Source organism: Homo sapiens, chromosome 10 (assembly GCF_000001405.40).
Source record: "Homo sapiens chromosome 10, GRCh38.p14 Primary Assembly".
Classification (NCBI taxonomy): Eukaryota; Metazoa; Chordata; class Mammalia; order Primates; family Hominidae; genus Homo; species Homo sapiens.
The window spans coordinates 24,903,242-24,923,963 of record NC_000010.11 but is presented as its reverse complement, the minus strand read 5'-3'; the positions used below and the strand labels follow the sequence as shown (position 1 = coordinate 24,923,963).

The window sequence follows — 20,722 nt, the reverse complement described above, 5'->3', positions numbered from 1 at the left end:
GGTCATTTAAGTTCTTCTCTACACTGTTTATTCTAGTTAGCCATTTATCTAACCTTTTTTCAAGGTTTTTAGCTTCCTTGCGATGAGTTAGAACATGTTCCTTTAGCTCAGAGAAGTTTGTTATTACCGACCTTCTGAAACCTACTTCTGTCAACTCCTCAAACTCATTCTCTGTCCAGTTTTGTTCCATTGCTGGTGAGGAGCTGCGATCCTTTGGAGGAGAAGAAGAACTCTGGTTTTTGGAATTTTCAGCTTTTCTGCTCTGGTTTCTCCCCGTCTTTGTGGTTTTATCTACCTTTGGTCTTTGATGTTGGTGACCTACAGATGGGGTTTTGGTGTGGATGTCCTTTTTGTTGATGTTGTTGCTATTCCTTTCTGTTTGCTAGTTTTCCTTCTAACAGGCCCCTCAGCTGCGGGTCTGTTTAGTTTGCTGGAGGTCCACTCCAGACCCCGTTTACCTGGGTATCACCAGCGGAGGCTGCAGAACAGCAAATATTGCTGCCTGATCCTTCCTCTGGAAGCTTCATTCCAGAAGGGCACCCACCTGTATGAGGTGTCTGTCGGCCCCTTTTGGGAGTGTCTCCCAGTCAGGCTAAATGGGGGTCAGGGACCCAATTGAGGAGGCAGTCTGTCCGTTCTCAGAGCTCGAATGCTGTGCTGGGAGAACCACTGCTCTCTTCAGAGCTATCAGACGGGGATGTTTAAGTCTGCAGAAGTTGACTGCTGCCTTTTGTTCAGCTATACCCTGCCCACAGAGGTGGAGTCTAGAGAGGCGGTAGGCCTTGCTGAGCTGTGGTGGGCTCTGCCCAGTTTGAGCTTCCCAGCCACTTTGTTTACATACTGAAGCCTCAGCAATGGTGGACGACCCTCCCACTGCCCAGCTACAGCATCACAGGTTGATTTCCGACTGCTGTGCTAGCAGTGAGCAAGGCTCCATGGGCATGGGACTGCTGAGCCAGGCACAGACAGGATGGAATCTCTTTGTCTGCCAGTTGCTAAGACTGTGGGAAAAGTGCAGTATTTGGACAGAAGTGTACGGTTCCTCCAGGTACAGTCTGTCACAGCTTCCCTTGGCTAGGAAAGGGAAATCACCCAACTCCTTGTGCTTCCAGGTGAGGCAATGCCCCACCCCACTTCGGCTTGCCCCCTATGGGCCGCACCCACTGTCCAACCCGTCCCAATAAGATGAACCAGCTACCTCAGTTGGAAATGCAGAAATCACCCATCTTCTGCATCAATCATGCTGGGAGCTGCAGACTGGAGCTGTTCCTATTCAGCCATCTTGGAAGCGACCCAGGAAAGAGGTTTAATGGACTCACAGTTCCATATGGCTGGGGAGGCCTCACAATCATGGCAGAAGGCAAATTAGGGGCAAAATCATATCTTACATGGTGGCAGGCAAGAGGGCATATGCAGGGGAACTCTCCTTTATAAAACCATCAGATCTCATGAGACTTATTCACTATCATGAGAACAGCATGGGAAAACCCCACCCCTGTGATTCAATTACTTCCCACAGGGTCCCTCCCATGACACATGGAGATTATTACAATTCAAGGTGAGACTTGTGTAAGCGCACAGAGCCAAACCATATCAATGCGGTAATCAGTTTAACTGATATATACCTGATCTTTTCCAAAAAGGATCTAATGATGTATTTTATTAATTATGCCCAGATAATTTCTCATTTTCTGCAGGAAAATAATTGCAGGCAGCAAAATATTAACAATTATCCTTATTTTATGTTAGGTTATTTTTATCAACATTTTGTAACTGATATAGAATGTAAAATTTAGCATCAAGACCAGGAAAATCTTTTTGAGATTACATATTCCATTTGTATTTTATAAAACACATGAACTTTAAAGTCTAGGAAAGTTACCAGGAAATAATTTGGATTTGGTGGGAAAAAGCAACACAGTTGGATATATAATAAAATGGTTTGGGGAAAATATTTATGGAAAAATAATGCCTTTGACAATTGTTTATGATGCTCATTGTACTATAATAAAGTTTGAGTTTAATGGTTTTATTGTCGTTTTAACCCATAGTGTATATTCCTTTCTTGCATGAGTTTGCCATTATTAAACACAGCATTATTGTTAATCACTCAGGTAATTCAACATGCTTACAATCTGTAGCTTTCAAGGACAAGAATTATTTAATTTTCTACTTATTAATTTGGGATTCATTTGGAGGAGGACAGTTTTGACATTTTTTTGTTTGCCTAGCTTTTTTTTTTTTTTTTTCCTAGAGAACAGAAATGAACTCAAACAGACATTGACAAATAGGAGAATAATGTCATTAAAAACAGGATGACTCTTGGTGAGGAAAAGGGCACAACAGTACGTCAAGGGCCCCCACAGCCCACGCCACAGAGAGGAATGACTAGGCAGGAGTGGAAAGGAAAAGGCCAGCAGTTGGTGATGAGTCAGCAGTACTTTTGCTAAAAATGCTAATCTAATACAGCAGTGGGAAGTGTTGGTTAGCATGTGATCATCGAGGCCTGGAATGACTCCTTCCTCTCTGCAGCTCTCAGGAGTCCCTGTTGAAGGACCGGGATGGGGGCTTTGGTGCCCTATAGACCTCTGTGTGTTGTTTTGGGGTGTGGATCCTCCTCTAATTAGGAAAGATAGCTAGAAGGCAGGCTCAGAAGTCTGCCCCAACTCACACTTCCAAAATTCACATTGGCGTGTGTAAGAGATCTGAGAAATGAAAATGTGTGATATTCTCCCTCATCTTCATATTAAGATAATTTCTTAGGACAAAAATGATTTTTAAACATACCCCTTACTCCAGCGATATCTGAGCCCTGATCACTCAGGAAGTGATAATGACACCTTTGTTTTTTGTTTTTTTGTTTTTTTTTTAATCACTTGTAACCGCTGTGTTGTAGGCAGGGAAATACTTAACCATGAAAGTGACATATTCTTGTTTTATTCCTATACTTAAAGCAAAAGCTACTTACTTTCAGTGTAGGTCAATTTAGATCTGCAAAACAGAATACCATTTTAGATGCTTTGAGGCAGTGTTCCTGTAACAGAATTGTTAGTAATTTTAGAAGATTAGTGAAATATTTTATTTTGAAAACCATTATGGAATTCCATGTTTGTTTCTTTTAATGGATAAATTTAAATATATATCAAATGGATAGATTATTGTAGACTTTTTCAGGGATAGTTATTTTTCCATCAGCAGTACTGTTAGACTACTCTATGCAGAATACATCTACTAGAATGACTTATTTCCTTTTTTGAAAAAAAAATTGAATTTTATTTTAAGTTCCAGGATACATGTGCAGGACGTGCAGGTTTGTTACATAGGTAAATGTGTGCCATGGTGATTTGCTGCATCTATCAACCCATCACCTAGGTATTAAGCCCCACATGTGTTAGCTATTTATCCTGATGCTGTCGCCGCATCTTCCATCCCCAACAGGACCTAGTGTGTGTTGTTCCCCTCCTTGTGTCCATGTGTTCTCATTGTTCAGCTCCCACTTGTAAATGAGAACATGTGGTGCTTGGTTTTCTGTTCCTGCATTAGTTTGCTGACTATAATGGCTTCAAGCTCCACCTATGTTCCTGCAAAGGACATGATCTCCTTCCTTTTGATGGCTGCATAGTATTCCATGGTATATATATATATACACACACATATATATATACACACACACTCATATATATATACACATATATATATAACATTTTATTTATCCAGTCTATCATTGATGGGCATTTGGGTTGATTCCATGTCTTTGCTATTGTGAATAGTGCTTCAGTGAACATAAGTGTGCATGTATCTTTATAATAGAATGATTTATTATATTCCTTTGAGTATATACCCAGCCATGGGATTACTGGGTCAAATGGTATTTCTGATTCTAAGTCTCTGAGGGATTGCCGCACTGTCTTCCATAATGGTTGAACTAATTTACATTCCCACCAACAGGGTAAAAGCTTTCCTATTTCTCCATAGCCTCACCAGCATCTATCGTTTCTTGACTTTTTGATAATCACCATTCTGACTGGCATGAGATGGTATCTCATTGTGGTCTTGATTTGCATTTCTCTAATGATTTGTGATGTTGAGTTTTTTTTCATGTTTGTTGGCCACTTAAATGTCTTCTTTTGAGAAGTGTCTGTTCATGTCCTTTGCCCATTTTTAATGGTTTTTTTTTAATGTAAATTTGTTTAAGTCCCTTGTAGATTCTGGATATTAGCCCTTTGTCAGATGCATAGATTGCAAAAATTTTCTCCCATCTATAAGTTGTCTGTTCACTCTGACAATAGTTTCTTTTGCTGTGTGGAAGCTCTTCAGTTTAATTAGATCCCATTTGTCAATTTGTGCTTTTGTTGCAATTGCTTTTGATGTTTTTGTCATGAAATCTTGGCCCATGCCTATGTCCTGACTGGTATTGCCTAGATTTTCTCCTAGAGTTTTTATAGTTTTGGGTTTTCCATTTAAGTCTTTAATCCATCTGGAGTTAATTTTTGTATAAGATATAAGGAAGGGGTGCAGTTTCAATTTTCTGCACATGGCTAACCAGTTCTCCCAGCACCATTTATTAAACAGGGAGTCCTTTCCCTATTGCTTGTTTTTGTCTGGTTTGTCAAAGATCAGATGGTTGTAGATGTGTGGTCTTATTTCTGAAATCTCTATTCTGTTCCATTGGTCTATGTGTCTGTTTTTGTACTTGTACCATGCTGTTTTGGTTACTATAGCCTTATAGTATATTTTTAAGAGAAAGACTTATTTCTAATATATCCTAAGATATCTTTCTAGTTTATTAGTACCAGGTATAGGATTTTAAAAGTTGAATTTGATTTACTTAAACTAATAATAATATATTGATTGATTACTATTGAAAGTACTATTTTAAGTGCCTTATAAATATTATTTCATTAGTGCCCACCACAACCTGATAAGTAAAGTAATTTATTATCCCCATTTTACATGTAAGGAAAGTGATCCACAGACAGTTTAAGATAGAGCTGGCCGAGAATGGGGCTAAGATGTAAAACTACACAGGCTGATTCAAGAGCATGGAGGCCACAGTCTTTCCACACTGCTTCCCAGAAGGAGGGCCCCATTACCACCGTTCACTTTGGCAAGGAACTCATTTTTATGGGTTTTCCTTTGTTCATTTGTAAAATGATGAGGTTGGATTTCAAGATCTGTAAGGTCCCTGACAGATTTGAAGTTATATTATCTTTAATGTCTTGGAACGTCTATTGAAAAAGGACAGATTGGACCAGGCATAGTGGCTCACACCTGTAACCCTAGAGCTTTGGGAGGCTGAGTGGGGAGGATTGCTTGAGCCCAGGAATTCAAGACCAGCCTGGGCAACATAGTGAGACCTAGTCTCTACAAAAATCTAAAAATTAGCCAGGCATGGTGGTATGCATCTGTAGTCACAGCCCTTGGGAGGCTGAGGCAGGAGGATCCCATGAGCCCAGGAATTCAAGACTGCGGTGAGCTATAATCCTTACTGTACTGTAGCCTGAGCAACAATGTGAAACCCCATTTCTTAAAATAAAAATAAAATAAAATAAAAAAGATATTAACCACACATATTTGATTTGCATTCTCCACTAAAATGACATGGATATATATAATATGATATGATATGATATGATATAGTTAAAAGTGACCTCATATGACAAACTGGACAAGAGAGAAGACAGCAGGTCCAGAGAACATGAATGTAATGGCATGGAGATAAGTTGGACCCAAGTGCCTGCAATGAATGACACCAAAGAAGAACCCAGTTAAATGAGGCCTTGAGAGACTTAGTGCTCCAGCAATGTCAGGGACAGCAGGCAATGAGATGATGTCATTGTGAAGATCATTGGGACTCCCTGGTCCTCCACCCCACTTCCATTGTTGGAAGTCAGGTGACAGCTCTCCTCCCCTCCCACCCAGCCTCATCCCCTTCTACCACTATTGCAGGAAACTGAAGATTAATTTTTCAGAAAAAAATGAACCAAAAAAGTACCAAAAACACGGACACCAGGTAAAACAGAGGCCTGGGGAGATCCAGCTAAACTTTTTATATGAGATTCTGAGACCATCAGCTCTCTTCCTTAGCAGCCGGGCATGTGACCACTCGTAGCCCCCACCAATGAGGCACTGAGGTTTGACAGTGAATGTTCTTTGAGGAAACTGAATGGTTGTAAAGAAAAGACCTCCATCTATTGCATTTGGGACTCCCCCACTGAAAAGGACATCTGTCTCCATGGGAATCCACTAGTAAATCCATCTGTCATCAATCTCTGCCCCCTGATGGACACATAACTCTTTCCCATCAGCTCTTTTGGTGTCTCACTTAGAAGCAAGGAGCACAGTGTCTAGCATGAAACACCAGATGAAACAGAACAAAATAAAACTAAAAAACCCTAAAAAAGGAACCCCAAGAAAATAGAGCGAGAACAGAGAACAGAAGAAAACATCAAAATATTATGTTTAACATTCCCATGGAGAAAGAATAAAATCTTGGTATCTCTAAAGTAAGAACAAGAGTCTGTAACAGAATAAGAGAAGACAAATAAGAGGAGAAGAAAAATTTCTCGGAAGTTAAAAAAATGTGTACTGCAACAGACACACTTGCTTTTTCTATCCAACAACCATCCCTACCCCCACCACACTTTCTGCATCCCATTGCAGAGGCTGCTCACACCAGCGGCTTGCTTTCCCAGCCTCCCTTGCAGTTAAAAAATGGGGCATTTGACACAGTAAAGGGAAGACTGCTGAGAGTCCTCCCAGAGGGAATGGTTTACTTCCCTGATGAAAAGTAGATTATGGGAGGAAATCTCGCTCTCTTTAGCAAAATGTTATTTTGTCTTTAAGTGACTCCTGGAACTATGGCAATCTCCTTGGGTCATTGAAAAGACAAGCATATGAATGCAGCTAATTACTGAGGATGGCAAAGGGGAAGGGGACAGAGCCTGGATCCTCGAATACACCATTGAGCTGAGGATCTACATACAGGGTAATGAGAAGATACACATATATGGTAATTGGACTGTAAGGGAAAATCTAAAGTTTAGGTGGAAGAGATAGCCTTGTTGGGAAAGAGGTGATGTTATTGAGGGTTCCAACAAGCCCTAAATTGCATAGCCCATTCACTCGCCAAATAGTTACACTCGTATGTCAGGATTTTACATTCTAGGTAAAACAGACAGGAAATTGAAAATAAAACAAAACGAGAAAAGAAGAAATATGCCAAAAAGTGGAAAATGCTGTGGAGAAAAAGAGACAGAGTAGGCTGGAGGGGTTGTGGGGAGTGGTCAGAGAAGGTGTAAGTAGCGCCATTGAAGCAGAGACTTGAAAGAAACAAAGGCTCCCCATGCAGACAGGGGAAGTCAGTCCCAGGAAGAGGAAGCAGCAAGTGCAATGGCCCTTAGGTGGCAATGTGCTTGACACATTTGAAGAAAAGCAAAGGAGGCCAGAGAAGAGTGAGAAGAAATTAGTCAGAGGTGACTTGGAGAAATAATGAGAGGTGAAATCTTGTAGATTCTGTCAGGCCACTGTATGGAGTTAGCCTTTTTCTCTGAGTAAGTAGGAAGATTTCACTGGGTTTTGAGCAGAATGTCATTATCTGACTTATATTTTAAAGAATAAGTCTGTGTGTGGTGCTGAGAATAGAATGAAAGGGGTAAAGGTTGAGCAGGGAGATGGCTGAAAAGATATTGCAGTAATTGCAGTGAGAGATAACGATAGCTGGAACCTGGATGGTCACAGAGGAGCTGGTGAGCAGTATTTGGATTTCTGTATATATCTTATAGGTAAAGACAAAGCCATCACCCATACGTGCTGATGAATTTTACATTAGTGGACATTGACATGGCTGTAAGGTTTCTGGCCTGAGCAAGTGTATAAACTGAGTTGCCATTTACTAAAATGGGGAAGATTGTGAAAAGAGGAGCTTTGGAAAGGAAACCAGGGGTGTGGTTTTGGAATATTTTTCCTCCTAAACATCCAAGATAAGCAGGCAGTTGGATATACCAGTCTGGAGTTCAGGGAAGAGAGGCAGAGGATTAAGATGTTTGTTTAAACGTGGTCAATGTATAGAAGGGATTTAAAGCCGTGCTGAAGAATGGGTCATCCAGGGAGTGAAGGTGGATAGAGAAGAGCTCTAAGGACTGATACCTGGAGCTTCCCACTATTTGGAAGCTGGGAGGACAAGAAGAAACTAGTAAAGCAGTCTGAGGAGGAGCAACCAGGGAATCATGTCCTGGAAGCTGAGTGAAGCAAGGGCTAATCAGCCACTGAATGCAGTTAATAGAACAAGTAAGAAGACTGAATGTTGACCACCATAGTTAGCAAGATGGATACTGTTGTTGACCTTGATAAGGGCTCAAGTGTCTTTAAGAACAAAGAACCAGTCAGGTTCAGCCAAGGATGATGTGTCAGCAGTAGCAGCCTCTCTGGACACCCAGTTATGGGAAGTGGAGTGAAACAGTGAAATGACCCCTTGCCTAGGGAGTGGGCACAATTCCAACATTGCCTATAGGGATATGGAAGCCAAATGTGAGAAATGGTCATGAAAAGGAACATAAGAAGCTCTGATTTTACCATTTAAGTCAAGCAGTTATGCCTTTTGGAGCTGTTATTTATTTGGAAGCACATTAAAGGAAGCTAGAGGACCCATTTCCCTGTCCAAATGTCAGGAGTCTTTGAAAAGGCAAGCATAATGAAGAGAATATGGAAACCATAAACACAAACTTTAGAATAAAGACGCATCTGGTGCAAATTCCAATATCACATGCTAATTTTTGATACCAAGTTACTGAACCTTTCTGAATCTTAGTGTTCTCTTCTATAAAATAAGGCTAGCCATGTGTGTCTCATGAGATTGTTTTTTTCAACTTTCATATTAAATGCAAGGGGTGCATGTGTAGGTTTGTTACATGGGTATATTGCATGAGGCTGAGGTTTAGGGTTCGATTGCACCCATCACCCAGGTAGTTAGCATAGTACCCAGTAGGTAGTTTTTCAACCCTTGACCCCTATGAGAAGATTTTTTTATGAGTAATAATTGGATGGCATATGGAAGGCCCCTAGAACTGTATCATCCAAACAGGTGACCAGCAAGTGACAACTTTGATTATTCTTACATCTTAGCTAGGCCTGAGGTAGAAGCTACTTGTTTTAATGTGAGAAAGATGAAGCATTTGTTGACATGAACCTAGTCAGAGAAGGAGTTGGCTAGAGCTGTAGTTTTAATAAAGTTCTTTAAAAGGCATTTATTATGGCCTAGACCTTGGAAGAAACAGAGCAGAGGTCTCAAGGCCTTATTTTCTTGATATATTCCAAAATAAATCTCACTGACTTCTCTTAAACTCTGCCCTTCAAACCAGATCGTAGCATGTATAAGGTTAAGATAATATCACACCCATGGGATGCTGAGGGCAAAAAAGTTCACCTTGCTGCCTGAGAGTGTGCCAGATGCCAAGAAGTACATCTTTGTGAGGCACAAAATGGCCTTAAGCTCACCTTTCTTCTGTGTTTTTCTTCTCAACCTTACGTATTTTTACATTAGAGCTCTCAGTACACATGGGTGTTGGCTTTATTCTCCCTAGTTCACAAAATAGAAAGCAGATAGCAAATGCCTAAGAAATAATTTTTTGAGAGTACACTATGACTCTCTTTTTATTTTCATAGTAACTCAGACCAAATTGGAATACTTCTAGTAGAAATAGTCACATTCCTCACTCTTGAATAAAATATTTAGATATTTAGCAAATGGATTCTGTGTCCTAAAACAATGTTTACTTGTGGCTATGATTAACTACATTTTCTTATTTAAATATATGATTTTGAGTCTTGGTTCTATGATTTATTATTTATTTTCTATCTGATTTGACTGTGAAACTTGATGGCATGAAAGCACTTTGGCCAAGAAATTCATAGGGCAGTGTTAGTTTTGGATTTCACTTTTCCTACTAGAGTTCATGGTCATTCAGTTTATCAATGTACAAAAAATTAGACAAAGTGGATATTTCCCAGAAGTCAAGCAATTTCCCCAGAGGGAAAATAAAATTTCATCAGTCCCTGAATTTAAAAATCTCCAAACCCCATTTAAAAATAACCATACAAATCCTGTTTCTCCACATAAGACTCAAAGATTTGTTTGTGCATCTTGAATCTACAACTGCTTTGTGTGTTTCCTGACCTTTACTTATATAAGTTCTAGTCCCCATTAGAGGTAAATGGATTCTAAAGTTTGCTTTAAAATCATTGCCAAAGTGGCCTTATCTTTATTAGTTTCTGACTATATAATCTGAGTGAGAATACATTGTAATAGGGGCATTGAAAAATCACTGAGATTAACTTGAAAGGATTATTTCTGGCAGAGATGACAATTTCTAAATACTGAGATAAGAGATATTAAGCTTAACTTGATTCTAACCTCTTTGTTGTCATGATCATGGTGGAAATTTACTTAACCAATTCTCTGGGACAAAGAAATTGTCAGTTTGGGCCTGAAATAGGTTACAGTGTTAGGAATTACAGTAAGAAGCATGTCACTAATACCCAATAGAGAACTTTCTTGCAATTTAAAACTGTGCAATGAATCATCTTATAAACCTAATAAATACAGATGCAGTTACCCAAAGGGTCAGCTAAAAGAACAGTAAGAACCTCAAGACTGCCTGACGTTATTCCTTGACAATATTACACCTTCCAAAATGATAGCTAACCTAAGTGAACCAACATGGGGAAGCTAATTACAAGGTTATCTCAGCTTTGGCATTGAATTATTCTGCTCAGTGACTTTGCTGTGAAAGCTGGGCAGCCCTAGTGAAGTTCGTGTTTTCTCCATAAAGTGGCTGCCATTTCAATGGCTGATGGGCTTAAAACTTTTAGTTGCCATACTTGAAATCCATTGTATTTTATTTGGTGAAAAGATTTCATTAAACTGGATTGTCAAATCTGATTTCGAAAAATTGTAAGTGGAATTTTCTCTATTTCTGTAAGTGTCTGTAGTTTTTGACTTAGTAAAGGGACGGCTTTGGAAGTTTTTGAGTGGAAAGGCGACATGATATGATTTAAGGGTTAAAAGGCTCACTCAGGATGCCATGTTTAGGATGGGAGGTAGAAGCAAGGCCAGTTCAGAGGTGACTGCAGTAATCCAGGTGAGAGCTGATGGATCACGGTGGGTGAGTGGAGATGGTGAGAAATGTCAGATTCTGGATACATTTTAAGCTACAGCCACGAGGATTGGATATGAGGTAAAAGAGAATGAGTGGTGTTAAGGATGACTTCAAAGTTTGGGAGACTGATTGGGAGAAAATATTTGCAAAACGTATGTCTGATAAAGATCTTATATCCAGATATATAAAGAGTTCTTACAGTACATCTGTAAGAACACAGCCCAATATTTTCAAAACAGGCAAAGGATTTGAATGACACTCTACCAAAAATGACATATAAATGGCCTGTGAGAACATGGGAAGATTTTCAATATCATTAGTCATCAGGGAAATACAAATCAAACCACAAAGAGATACCGCCTCACACCCAGAGGATGCCTATAACCAGGAAGTCAGATAGGAACAGTTGTTGGTTGAGGAAGTAAAGTTGGAACTCCCCTACACTGCTGATGGGAATGGAAGACGCTGCAGCCTCTCTGAAAAAAAAAAAAAACTCTTCAGCAATTTCTTTCTTTTTTTTTTTTTTTTTTTTTTTTTTTGAGATGAAGTCTTGCTCTGTTGCCCAGGCTGAAATGCAATGGCCTGATCTCTGCTCACTGCAACCTCTGCCTCCTGGGTTCAAGCAATTCTCCTGCCTCAGCCTCCTCAGTAGCTGGGATTGCAAGCATGCACCACCGTATCTGGCCAATTTTTGTATTTTTAGCAGAGACAGGGTTTCGCCTTGTTGGCCAAGCTGGTCTTGAACTCCTGACCTCAAGTGATCCACCCGCCTCAGCCTCCCAAAGTGCTGGGATTACAGGCATGAGCCACAGCACCCAGCAGGCAATTTCTTATAAAGTAAACCCACACTTATCAATGTGATCTACAATCATACTCTCCTATGTATTTATCCAAATGAAATGAAAACAGGTTTTTGTTTGTTTGTTTGTTTTGTTTTTTTTGAGATGGAGTCTTGCTCTGTCACCCAGGCTGGAGTGCGGTGACGTGATCTTGGCTCACTGCAAACTCCGCCTCCTGGGTTCAAGTGATTCTCCTGCCTCAGCCTCCTGAATAGCTGGGACCACAAGCATGTGCCACCATACCCGGCTAATTTTTTGTATTTTTAGTAGAGACAGGGTTTCACCATGTTAGCCAGGATGGTCTCAGTCTCCTGACCTCGTGATCCACCTGCCTGGGCCTCCCAAAGTGCTGGGATTACAGGTATGAGCCACCATGCCTGGCCCATGAAAACACTTTTTATACAAAGGCTGGTATGCAAATATTCATAGCAACTTTATTTGTAATAACTCAAACTAAAAACAATTCAAATGTCCACAAACTGATGAAGGAATGAAAAAACTGTGGTACGTCCATGAATGGTGTACTACTCAGCAATACAAAGCAACGGACTGCATGCAAGGAATGCCAGCAGCAACACAGGAGAATCTCAAGTGCACTGTGTTCAGTAAAAGAGCCACACTTGAAAGGATATATGCTGTATGATTCCATTTAAATGAACTTCATAACAGTTCAAAAACTTTCATAACAGAAAGCAGAACTGTGTTTGCCAGAGGCTATAAGTGGAGAGGAAGAAAGCAATTAAAAAGGGGCTCAAGGGAGCTTTTGGGGGTGATGGAATTATTCTACATCATGACTGTAATGATAGATGACTGTGCATTCATCATAACTCATTGAATTATATTCTCAAAAATGGCATATGTAAATTATACCTCGAAAGAGCTGATTTTTTTAAACAAGTAATTCTAACTATCACTGTTTTTATTTTTGAGGTCAGCACATTTTAATTGGAATTCGATAAAGAAATAGGTGTACAGTCCTTAAGCAGTCTTGAAAAAAAGTACTTAGCTGCTGGGGATGCTAAGGTGGGAAGATCACTTGAGCCTGGGAGGTGGAGGTTGCAAAAAAAAAAAAAAAATTACCTAACTCTCTAGGCATCTGTCTCCTTAGCAGGAAGATGGAGATCAGGGTGCCTGATTTGGTAATTTTTTTTAAATTTTCTTTTTGATTTGTTTTAATCTGAAAAGTCATGAGTAATCACTATTTTTGTAAATTGTATTGAGTTTTAATTGCCTCAAGTTCAGCTTTTATTTAATGAAATCCAGTGGTGGTCCATTTTATTAAGTATCTTTTTATAGTGAAATAAGTGGGCTTGCATTATTTTGTAGGCTTGTATTTTTGTATGCTGGGTTTTATTAAAGCTAGATGGATCTATAATTACATATTCCTGAAGGGAGAAGAATGCTTGCTCTTATAGTGACAGCCTAAAATTCTGGGTTTTTAGTGATTCACTCACACTCAACATTGATTATGATGTTTACTAAGATCATACACTGTATTTTCATGTGCATTATCTTAATTGTCCAGCAGCAGTTTGAAGTAAGTCTCCTTACCTCCATTATACATGAAATGAGACAAAAATCTATCAGTTGTTAGATGACTTACTTGTGGTTGGCCAGCTTTTAAAACGAGAATTCAATCTTAGGTTTCCTGGTTTTCAATGCAATGTTCTTTCCTCAACCAAAGCTGTCTTCTTCCCCTAGTTCTTAAAATATGTGTGAGCTGTCAAGATTCTGATTGTTCTTAATTTGCTGAATCTTCAGCTTCCACCATTGTTCAGGTTATTGGAAAAATTTATTTATTTATTTTTGAGATAGAGTCTCACTCTGTCACCTAGGCTGGAGTGCAGTGGCACGATTTCGGCTCGCAGCAACCTCTGCCTCCTGGGTTCAAGCGATTCTCCTGCCTCAGCCTCCCGAGAAGCTGGGGTTACAGGCATGTACCACCATGCCTGGCTATTTTTTTTTTTTTTTTGTATTTTTAATAGAGACAGGGTTTCCTCACGTTGGCCAGGCTTGTCTCAAACTCCCGACCTCAAGCGATCCACCCGCCTTGGCCTCCCAAAGTGCTGGGATTATAGGCATGAGCCAACACGCCTGGCCAAAATTTATGTATTTCGTTGGAATGTTTCAGTAAGGTCAGGTTATGGGCATTGAGAAAGGCTCTACACTGCTAGATTAGACCCCCACCTAATTACTGAGGTGCTAAGGGCATCATGAAATTTCAGTAGGAGGTGAGATAAAGCTAAATGGCCTTTCTCAATGTAGAGGGTAAAATCTGGAATGAGAACATTTGAAATCTAAACTTATTGCCAGGTATAGCATATTTGTCTTTAACTATTCGAACAAGGGGATTTTTTTCCTATACAAAGCTATACAAATTAAAAATATATATGCAATATTTTAAAATTCATCCATTCAGCTAGCATTTGCTGATACTCTCTGCATCAGTGATTCTGCTAGATCCTGTGAATTAGGGGGACAAAAAAGGCTATATACAATTCTCATCCTTAAAAGGATCCATAGCCTAGTAAAGGAAGCTGACTTGCAAACAACTAAATGAAAGCTGGACCATGAGATAAGGGGTAATGGATATTTTTTAAATAAAAAGATAGCTTATAGCCACATATGTATTAAAAGTTCTACAATATCTCTTTCTTACCTTTGAGTTAGATAGTCCCCTTTTTTTTGAGATGAAAGTCTCACTGTGTTGCTCAGGCTGGAGTGCAATGACACAATCATGACTCACTGCAGCCTTGAATTGCTGTACTCAGGCAATCCTCCTATCTCAGTCTCCCAAGTAACTGGGAATATAGACACACACCACCACGCCTGGGTGTTTTTTGGCTTTTTGTTGAGATGGGAGTCTTACTGTGTTGCCCAGGAAGGTTTTGAGCTCCTGGCCTCAATCAATCTCCCAAAATGCTAGGATTGCTGGCATGAGCCACTGCACCTGGCCTGAGGTAATTATTCTTATCTCCACTTAACACAGAAGGTAACGGAGGCTCAGAAAGGTTGGATGCCTTGTTTAGAGCTGATCTTCCTAGGATGAGACTTTACATTTAGAACAACTGACCTCCATCCTGCATTCTCACCCCAGCCAGAGGTCTTCTGGTTTTCTTGAGGTGGCTGGAATCAAATGGGCTATTTGGAAAAGGGGGATGTGAGGGCTATCTGGCTGTGGCATCAGTCACCCCATTGATCGCTAGGGTTGATCAGGCTGATCGGGCTGGCTAGGTAGGTGTCTCCTTCCTCCCTCACTGCTCCATGTGTGTCTCTCCCAAAGCTGCGTGCTCGGTTGAAGAGGACAACCATCTGTGATAGAGGAGGACTGGCCTTCAGTCAAGGGTATATGAGTAGCTGTGCTCCCCTGCAAGAATCTCCAAATACCCTCTGGAGAGGTTACCTCCAAGTGCTCATTCCCTGTTTCCACATCCGGTTTCAGTTACCAAGATCAGAGCAGAATTAGGTCTGAGATCCAGTGAGGTGTACAGTAGCACCTGGACCATTCTAGGGCTCACTGTCTTCAAGCCCTGGCTGTGCCCACAGTCTTCATGAAGAAACTGGACACTGTGTCTGCTGGATGATGTATTTCTTCTTGCTTGAGGTTATGAAAAATATCAAAATATGTAAAGAAACATGCTGGATAAAAATATTGCCTTGAAATACAATGTGGTAGTCTTCTAGTTCTTTATTCCGTAAAAGACAGAGGGCATGACATGTTCAATTCAACGCAACGCAACGCAACAAAAATGTATCTGCTGCAGTGGTGGGGATACGAGAGTATGATGTAGCCCCAGGCCCTGGGGGACTTTGGTGTGGATCTCGCAGTACTCAGTGAAACTTACTATAAAAGGCCTTATTCAACATTCATTTTAAATGTCTTGGACCATATCCTAGAAAGCAGTGTTGCCCTCAAGTAAAATTTTCCCACATTTTAATGTTCCAAACACTTGGTTGCTAGAAAACTTTATAAAGAAATTTTACTGAAAATCAAACTCTTAGGACAAAGGTCATGCCATTTTGTTGCCTAGCCCTAGAATGAAATAGTCTTTTATTCTGTGTTCTCTATTTATATGAGTTAGAATACTTCACTTTGAAATGAACTTGTAGTTTTAAAATAAAAAAGGACAGAAAGTAAAAGAAAGAAAACAATTATTCCAATTTTTTTATTCTAACAATAAATGTATAACACATTACATTTAAAAGAATGTAACTTCTTTAATAGTGTTAGTGAAGCTACCCAGGATATTCAGAACTCAAATGAAGTGTACAAATGCCAAAAACGATTATGTTGCTATTTCCACAGATGTTTTCTGAGGAATTTGCCTTGAAGTGATTTAAGATGAATACTTGATTTTGATTTTTATTTTTTTGAGACAGAGTCTCACTCTGTTGCCCAGGCCAGAATGCAGTGGCGTGATCTCAGCTTACTGCAACCTCCATCTCCCGGGTTCAAGTGATTCTCCCACCTCAGCCTCCCGAGTAATGGGGACTACAGGCGTGCGCCACCACACCCAGCTAATTTTTATATTTTTTAGTAGAGATGGGGTTTCACCATGTTGACCATGCTGGTCTCGAACTCCTGACCTCAAGTGATCCACCCGCCTCAGCCTCCGAAAGTGCTGGGATTACAGGCATGAGCCACCACACCCAGCCTAAGGTGAATACTTTTATTCTACAGAAATTCTAATTCATACAAGTCACTGTTAGTCCTCATTTCCTGAGTAATTTTCCATTTTTACTTCATTTTTTTTTTAGAGACAGGGTCTAGCTCCCTTGCCCAAGTTGGAGTGCAGAGGTGCGATCATAGCTCAGTGCAGTGTCTGACTCCTGGGCTCAAGCGAATCTCTAGCCACAGCTTCCTAAATTGCTAGGATTACAGGTGTGAGCCACCGCACCTGGCCCCATTTTTATACTTATCTATACTATCTCATTTTTCTGTAACGTGTTCATATGACTTTTATATTCAGGAAAGTAAAACATAAGTTGCTTTATATGCTAAATGTATATAATGATATGCCTATATTCCAAACATATAAAGAAAGACGAACTAACAGTAAAGCCAATAACAGTGCCACAGCCTCCTGACAGCTTGTCCATTTCTCCCCTCTTTGGCCCTGTGCCTTTTAGAACCAAAGATTGTGATGCTCACACGGGAGCAGGTAGCTCAGAGCCCTCAAGCCAGCTCTCGAGAGCAGGTGAGGAAAACCTACACATGGGCTTCGTGGCCACAGTTGCTCCTGTGAAATGAGGTCTTATAGCAATCTCCTTTTTATTTCCTTGATAAGTAAAAACGTTCCAGTTAACTGGTCCCTTAGCAGAAATGCCACAGATATCAAGCAATTAAAGACAGCTTTTGTGTGATCTACATTCTGTCCATTTTTCAAGGGAGTGCTCTTTGTTCCACATGGTAAGGCACATCCATTCATTCATTCATACAAGTCATTTGTTCATATATCAGCATACTCCCTCTGTGTCTGGGACTGTGTGTGTGTGGGTGTGTGTGATGTAAGCATTCAAATGACACCATGTTTTTGTAATTCTTACTATTTCTTCATATTCCATATATCAGAGTCCTCGTAAGCTGGGGGTCCAGGGGTATCTTGACCTCAGAGAGTAGCTGGCGCTTGCAGTGTGATCAGAACCATAGTGAAGCACAAGCACAAAGCATGGAGACAGAGGCAGAGGCTTTTTCAGCTGAGTTAGGAACGTGGAGTGGGGCTCTCTACACAGCCAAGAGGAGATGGGGAGTCAGAGAAAGCAATGAGAAAGCATTGAGAAAGCAATGTCTATAGTTGCCCAAGATTACAGGAGGAAGCCTGATCTGGGATGGAAGGAGCACGCCATGCATGGGAGGTGACAGGACCAGATCTACAAAGAACAGCCTGGACATCCTATCATTTGCAACATGGATGGCACTGGAGGACACTCTGTGAAGTGAAACAAGCCAGGCACAGAAAGACAAACTTTGCATGTTCTCACTTATTGGTGGGAGCTAAAAATTAAAACAATTGAACTCATGGAGATAGAGAGTAGAAGGATGGTTACCAGAGGCTGGGAAGGGGAGTGGTGAGAGGAGGGAGCGGGGATTGCAAATGGGTACAAAAAATAATTAGAAAGAATGAATGAGACCTCAAAATATTATTAAATAAGTAATCAATAACTACTAGTTCCTCTAGGTGATTAAATTAATAGATAACTGATGGAATACAGTTGATAAAAGGAAGAGACTTGTGGTTTCCAGCTTGGGCATATGATGGATAATGTGCCATCACTGAGATAAGGAAGAGAAGAGAAAGAAACCATCCAGCAGGAAAGATAAAGATGGCAGACAAGACACTTTTAAAAAATTTCTTGGCTTGGCAAGGTGGCTCACCCTTGTAATCCCAACACTTTGGGAGGCCGAGGCAGGTGGATCAAAAGGTCAGGAGACCTTTTGGCCAACATGGCAAAACCCTGTCTCTACTAAAAATACAAAAATTAGCTGGAAGTGGTGGCACGTGCCTGCAATCCCAGCTACTCGGGAGACTGAGGCAGAAGAATTGCTTGAACCAGGGAGTCGGAGGTTGCAGTGAGCCGAGATCGTGTCACTGCACTCCATCCTGGCGACAGAGTGAGACTGTCTAAAAAAAAAAAAAAAAAAAAAAAAAATTCTTGAGACAGGGTTTCACTATGTTGCCCAGGCTAAAGGGCAGTGGCATGGTCTCGACTCACTGTAGTCTCAATCTCCCAGGCTCAAGCAATCCGCCCACCTCTGACTCCTAAGTAGCTGGGACTACAGGTGCACACCACTGTGCCTGGCTAATTTTTTTTTTTTTTGTACTTCTAGACACAAAGGGTCTTCATGTTGTCCAGGCTGGTTTAAAACTCCTGCGCTCAAGTGATCCACCCACCTCGGCCTTCCAAAGTGCTGGGATTACAGGCATGTGACACCACACCTGGCTAGCATAGACTTTTGTACATAATGACTTGAAGGACCCATGGCACACCCATGTGGAGACTTCCAGCAGGACATTAGGAAGATGAACCTTGGTACTGTAGAGATATCTTGATAAGAGATAAAAGTGAAAGGAGGAGTCGTTGGCATAAGGTGGAAATTGACACTATGGAAGGGATTGACTAGGGAATATGAAATGGGGTTGAAGGTGGAGGATAGAATTTGGGATGAAATCCACAGAAGGTGTCAGGCTGGTGAAGAGGGGCACATGGACAGGATCAGTAGCATAGGTAAAGGAACAAATAAGAGTGGTCTCTCTAAACCATGGCTTAGTCTCTTTTCCAGGATTCTTAGAGATCCCTAGAAGTTCAGATGTATTCTTAAGGTGTTTCTAGAAGAGAAGGCTCTGGAACCTTAAGTCAGGGAGCCAGGTGATCCAAGAGGTGGCATTGAAGGTGACAAGTTCACGGGGCTGAAGTGTCCCCAGGCTTCCATGTAGCAGACTTGCCTGCCTCCCTGACATGCTGTCCCAAAGACTAGCACACCTACTCGAAGACTTGCAGGAGCCCTTTCGTACTTTACACCTGATGGAAATGCATGATTGTGCAGATGTCTTTGAGGGGGGACATCTCAATAAAGATATACATTAATGTGACCTGCTCCTCACAAGTGGGTCATTCCCACAGACTAGCTTTTGTCAGCTTCATAATAAGAATATTTGCAAGTCTGAGATTCCTTGTGTGTGTGTGTGTGTGTGTGTGTGTGTGTGTATTACATTTTAGATGAAAGAGAATCTTAGTGGTATAAATGTGCAGCCCACTCAGGGCCGGTACTGAAACAACTCCCTTTGTTCCCATCAGATAAATTTCATCCACACAAGCTACCTCTGTTAAATTTTAGTGCTTTACAGTTTAGTTAGCCCAAAGAAAGACTAAAATTTTCAGTTTACAGTTTAGAAAGAATAGAACAAGGCCAAGAAGGAATAAAGTGATACTTTTTTTCTCAGTGACCCTCTTCAAATACAGTTCTTAGAATAGAACTCCAGCTCGGTGCAGTAGCTCACAGCTGTAATCCCAGCCCTTTGCGAGGCTGAGGCAGGAGAATCACTTGAGCCCAGAAGTTTGAGACCAGCCTGGGGAGGTTAGCAAGACCCAGCCCTATAAATTAATAATAATAATAATAATAATAAATTAGCTGGGTGTGTGGTTGTGTTCGCTTGTAGTCCCAGCTACTTGGGAGGCTGAAGAGAAGATCACTGGAGCCCAGGAGCACTGCACTACAGCCTAGATGACAGAGCAAGACCCTGTCTCAAAAAAAAAAAAAAGAATACAACTTCATCCTGAGAAGGAGTGGATACACAAAATGAAGAGAATATCAAACCAGAAGACCAGCTCCTACTCCTGGCTCTGCCCAAGCCAGCTGTGAGACCTCTCTAGACTTCAGTACTCTCTGGGACTTCGTTTTCCATAAATAGTGTAGGATGATTGTATTAAAATAGAAGCTTCTTAGGAACTAGGGCTGTGCCTATTAATTTCTTCCTATACTTGGCACCTTTTAAAAACTTTGAATTGAAGTGCAATATACATTCAGAAAAGTGTCCACATCATGAATGTTCAGCTTAATGAATTTTCCACCAAGCGAACAACCTTGTGTATAATCATTACCAGTTAACAAATAGAACATTACCAATCGTTGGCTTTATTAGTCTTCACTTTATAGGGGATGCCTAATAAATAATTTACTTAGTAAATGCACCTTAGTAAAAGGTGCAAACATGTTTTCTCACAACA

At 40.7% G+C, this 20,722-nt stretch overlaps 1 protein-coding gene and 1 pseudogene across 2 annotated transcripts in view, besides 2 other annotated features; both read left to right on the top strand.

Annotated features, from left to right (window-relative positions):
* PRTFDC1 (phosphoribosyl transferase domain containing 1) overlaps positions 1 to 20,722 on the top strand; it is a 103,993-nt gene that overhangs the window by 28,643 nt on the left and 54,628 nt on the right. The window lies entirely within an intron of this gene.
* Positions 2,360 to 2,504: an enhancer, noted in NCBI's record as "145 bp enhancer 245 fragment used in the MPRA reporter construct; PK_construct_3316". NCBI's record gives its function as "activates an SV40 promoter by MPRA in K562 cells {active_cell/tissue: K562}" and the evidence as "EXISTENCE:reporter gene assay evidence [ECO:0000049][PMID:23512712]".
* Positions 2,427 to 2,437: a transcriptional cis regulatory region, noted in NCBI's record as "NFE2L2 motif; enhancer activity is reduced when this motif is scrambled". NCBI's record gives its function as "necessary for full MPRA enhancer 245 activity {active_cell/tissue: K562}" and the evidence as "EXISTENCE:site-directed mutagenesis evidence [ECO:0005528][PMID:23512712]".
* Positions 15,152 to 15,442, top strand: RN7SKP241 (RN7SK pseudogene 241; annotated as a pseudogene).